Raw genomic sequence first — 5,410 nt, 5'->3', positions numbered from 1 at the left:
GGTTCATGCCTGTAATCCCAGCACTTTGGGAGGCTGAAGTGGGTGGATCACTTGAAGTCAGGAGTTTGAAACAAACCTGGCCAACATGGTGAAACCCCGTCTCTACTAAAAATACAGAAATTAGCCAGGCGTGGAGGCAGGTGCCTGTAATCCCAGCTACTTGGGAGGCTGAGGCAGGAGAATCACTTGAACCCATGAGGTGGAGGTTGCAGTGAGCAGAGATCATGCCACTGCACTCCAGCCTGGGCAACAGAGCAAGACTCTGTCTTAAAATAAATAAATAAATAAATAAAATAAAATATATTTGATCTTTGTCCTCAGTTCCTGGCACAGAAGTACTAAAGCCATTGGAATGTCCTGAGTCATAGGATGCCTTTTGCTGTTCCACCACACATGAACTTATGCTAGTGAGGTGAGTCAAAGTGGAGCCTACTATAGCTTCAGGATAGGAACTGATCACCAGAAATACTAAAAACATGATTGGAGGATGGGAACTTTCAGCCCCATTCCCCGACCCCCAGGAAGCGGAATGGGATTGGAGATTGGTTTATAAAGAATCTTGAACAAGATTCCCTGAGTTTCTGTGTTGGTGAACACATTGAAGTGCTGGGTGGGTTGGTACACCCCTAGAAGGTATGGAAACTATGCCATCGCCCCTCCCATGCCTTGCCCTATGCATCTTTTCCAGTTGGCTGTTTCTGAATTATATCCTTTTTAATAAACCAGTAAACATAAGCCAAGTATTTTCCTGAATTCTCCAAGTTATTCTAGTGAATCATGAAATCTGAGAAGAGGGTTGAGGGAATGCTCAAATTGGTAGTTGGCTTGGTAGAAGTATGAGTACCTGGGACACCATTTGCAGTTTAAGTGTCTGAAGTGAACGAGCCTTAACCTGTGGGATCTGTGCTAACTTTAGCTAATTAATGTCAGGATTAAACTGAATGGTTGGACAACCAGTTGGTTTCTGAGAATTGGTTGTTAGTGTAGAAAAACCACATTTGTGTTAAAAAAAAATCCTGCATGGCATGCTTCTTCTGTTTTTTCGGTGTTGCTATGTGTCCTTTCATTCATTCAATAGGACATTCAGTCATATTCCACTTTTATGCCTTTTATATTTGCTATTATTTACATGGATTTGGTGTAGGCAGAGAAGATAATAGCATGTGCTCTGAACATCCTTAAATCCAAAATTGATTTTTACTCAGTATACTTTGGTATAATTTGATATCTTCTTAATGAAATATATTTGTAAGTTACTTGTATAAATCAATGATTGAAACAAGTAATTACTTGTATAAGGAAAATGATACCAAATTTTTGTCACCTTAGTCTTATGCTAAGTACCATCATTCTGCTTTAGCTGAAATTCTCATTATGAATTACATTTTGGCTCATTTTCTAGTGTTAAGTAAAGATAAATTAATGGCAAATATGATTTTTTAACTTTATTTTTTTGCCAGGTAAAACAATAGCAAAGTAACATTTTAGCACTCTTCAAAAGTAGTTGGTGTCACAGATACTTGGAAAAGAACCTAAAGACTACCTAGAAAGTTCTCATACAAGGGGTTTGAACAGTGATGAACTGTATCTAGATAAATCCTTATTTTCTTTAGTCATTGGGAAAATATACCAATATAATCTATTTCTTGGAGAAGCCAAGAGTCCAAAGATTGGGTGTATTGTTATCTATGAGATATATTGTTGCAGGTTAGTGCTAACACCCTAACCGATATGGCCTAATGTGGAAAGGAAAGTGAAAACATTGTAGAAGAGAAATAAGTACAGCCTAAGGCTCTGTGAGAGGCACACTCTCCCTATCAGCACACCAGCTTCCAGCCTCATTCATTTCTGTCTTATATATTACAGATGTTCAAAAACATATGTACATACAAAATACATACAGGAAATTTGCCAGAATATGCACACGTAAGATTCAAGACTGGGTTTTAATCTGAAATACTGCATTTTTAAAATCTGGAATTCTGGAAATACTGTGTGTGTGTATGTGTTTCTTACATGAAAGAAATTTCCAAGGGATTATGAACACACACACACACACGCACACACAATTTCTGTACTTGTGAGAAAGTCATATGAGTGTATAATGCTTATTTAAAGGCAACAAAATTCATTTTGAATTCATATTTTTAATCTCAATTCTTAAAATTAAGCATATTTTAAATACTTTGAAACAAATTTCTCCCTGCATTTAAGGTAATTATTTTTGACTATATGCATGTAGGTGGCCAAAAATTGCCTGCTTTTTTTTTTTTTGGAGATGGAGTTTCACTGTTGTTGCCCAGGCTGGAGTGCAATGGTACGATCGCCGCTCACCACCTCTGCCTCCTGGGTTCAAGCAATTCTCCTGCCTTAGCCTCCTGAGTACCTGGGATTACAGGCATGCACCACCACACTTGGCTAATTTTGTATTTTTAGTAGAGACAGGGTTTCTCCATGTTGGTCAGTCTGGTCCCAAGCTCCCAACCTCAGGTGATCCGCCAGCCTCGGCCTCCCAAAGTACTGGGATTACAGGCCTGAGCCACCAATCCCGGCCCCGTTTTTGTTTTTTGTTTGTTTTTGTTTTTGTTTGTTTGTTTGTTTTGAGACAGAGTCTAGCTCTGTTGCCCAGGCTGGAGCGCAGTGATGCAATCTTGGATCTTGGCTCACTGCAACTTCTGCCTGTCAGGTTCAAGCGATTCTCCTGCCTCAGTCTCCCAGGTTGCTGGGATTACAGGTGCACGCCACCACACCCAGCTAATTTTTGTATTTTTAGTAGAGACGGTGTTTCACTGTGTTGGCCAAGCTGGTTTCGAACTCTTGACCTCGTGATCCGCCCGCCTTGGCCTCCCAAAGTGCTGGGATTACAAGCGTGAGCCACCATGCCCGGTCCCTTTTTTTTGTTTTTTATAGACTTTAATACAATGCATTAAGTTTGCCAGACATTCCATTCCTCCTAATTGTGAAGCTTCTTGATGAAGAGGGAGTGTTGGGGCATGGGGTATTCTTTGAAATTTTTTAATAAGTATTGACAAATTATTTCAAATATAATCTTACGGAGCAGTGTTTCATCTATAGATATAAAAATAGATCTATTTGGCTTGCTATTGTCATGTTAATATTTCCTTATATTTTATTTCAACTGCTAAAACAATATGACTAATCAAATAATATTCTATCTTAACTTAGACATTGAGCACTGGGCTCAGGCTATGCCTATAAATCACACACACAATTGACCTTTTAGAGATCAGGTCCTATTGATGTGAGATATCTTATGAATAATATTTTATATTAATAAAATAGTTAACTAGAAACTGACATCAGCTTTATACATCAACATAAGCAAAATAACAAATATGTTTGAAATCTACATATTTTGTAACTTTTAATTAGTGTTCCAAATCCTTAAGCCTTGCAGAAAACATTCATCTCTGATAAGAGTATTTCCCACCAAGTTAATTTATCCAAATTAAGGTAATCTCTTTTCCTATTTTCTTTTACTTGACCAGTTTGGTATTTACAGATTTCTAGGGTATTAACCTCTCAAGTTTCCATGTAGAGAATGTACTTCCTTTCTGCTGAAACAATGGACCTCATGACTCAGTGTTTGCTTTGATCCTGAGTTTGATTTTATCTAGATCTTGCCGCTAGTATTGTTTTGATTAATGATGTGACAGTGCAGAGATTCATTCTCACCATTATTCCTGTTTACTTTCCTCATGTTAAAGTATCTGAGTATAGAAAATCTGTAGAGAAAGAAATTGCGAAAATTAAGAATTTTAGTAAGAGCTCTAGAGCTGTATATCCAGCTTCCTACTCAACACCACCTGGATGTCTAATAGGCTCCATAGACTTCACATGTCCAAAGAGATCTTCTGATTCTCCAGCCCCACAACACTACATGCAACTGAAACCAATAACAGAAAACCTCCACATCCCCTGTGTTTCTTCAGCTCAGTACATGGCATCATCGGCCACCTACTCCTCAATCTCAAATTTCATTAAACAACTCTGATTCTTCTCTCTCTCTTATTTGTAACATGCAGCCCATTAGTAAATTAACTGACTCTTTGCCAAAGCACATTATTCTGACAGCCATTACACCAGTCTGAGTCACTATCACCTCCAGCTTGGATTATTACAATAGCCTACTAGCAGTCTCCTTACAGTGTTTCATAATCTAGCTCTTGCCTACCACTCTGACTTTATTTACTATTAATAGATTCTATTTTTTAGAGTAGTTTTAGGCTCACAGCAACATTGAGTGTAAGATACAGAGATTTCCTATATAGCCCCTGCCTCTACACATGCATACCCTTCTCATTATCAACATCCTTCACCAGAATGATGAACCTGCACTAATGCATTATTATCACCCAGAGCCACAGTTTACATTAGGGTTCACTTTTGTGTTGTAAATTCTGTGGGTTTGGACAAATTTATGATAACATGTATCCAATATCGTAGTATCATGCAGAGTAGTTTCACTGCCCTAAAAATCACTCTTTTACATTGTATTATGCCTCTTTTTTCCTCATACCTCAGCCGCACTCACCTTTGGTCTTTTCCTCTAACTTGGTAAACCCCTTCTTGCTTTGAGGACTTTGTACCTGTTTTTTTGGCCTGGAGTGATTGTCATATTGTCACAAAGTCAGATTCTTCCCTCTATTTACATCTCAGCTTAAATTTCATCTCCTCACAGACCATACTGACCACATAATCTAAAACAGTGTTTTCAGTCACTAAATATTCCCTTGCTTTGTTTTTATCTTAATAGAATATGTCTAACACATATTTTCTTGTTTATCACCTATAAGTTAAAAAAAAAAAAGAGGTGCTTTGTTTTGTTTTATACCATATTCCCCAAGTCAGAAGAGGCCCCAAGTCAGAAGAGGTATGTGGTGGGTGTCCAGCGAATGAATTATTAAATAGATAATAATAACATCCTGGAATCTATGGTCCTAGTGTGCTGAAGCTTGTGATTTATACTTCACAATCTATGGAAACCTTCTACCCTCTCTCTCCCCTAGTGACTATTTTGCCTTTTTTCTCTCTCATTTTCCCTTTTCCTTCTTACTGCATCTATACTTCACATTTCTCTTTACACAGCTTCTTCCTCACTCTACTTCACTATCATTCCTACTCTTCTTCTCACTCTTTGCCCCAAACTGGACATAAAATGTGCCTGATAATTCTTTTAAAAATATTTATTTTACTTGTTGAATAAATCTTTCATTTCCTTGTTCTTAATTTAAACAGCACATGAGCTGAATGTTTTATGTTTCTCTAAGAAAAAGCTATATACATTTTTTTTATTACTTCTGTATGTTGGTGATCCTGGAAAGATGGGGAAAATCTTCCCTACTCCTGCTTCTGTTCTGTTTTAAAGGTTCAAAGTCAGTGTGGCGAT

The 5,410-nt window shown here is 37.7% G+C and overlaps 1 annotated feature.

The window, feature by feature from the left end:
- Positions 267-561: an enhancer, noted in NCBI's record as "tiled region #11257; HepG2 Activating DNase matched - State 9:DNaseU". NCBI's record gives its function as "activates a minimal TATA promoter and a strong SV40 promoter by Sharpr-MPRA in HepG2 cells {active_cell/tissue: HepG2}" and the evidence as "EXISTENCE:reporter gene assay evidence [ECO:0000049][PMID:27701403]".

Source organism: Homo sapiens, chromosome 6 (genome assembly GCF_000001405.40).
Source record: "Homo sapiens chromosome 6, GRCh38.p14 Primary Assembly".
NCBI lineage: Eukaryota > Metazoa > Chordata > Mammalia > Primates > Hominidae > Homo > Homo sapiens.
This window is presented reverse-complemented; position numbering and strand designations above follow the sequence as displayed.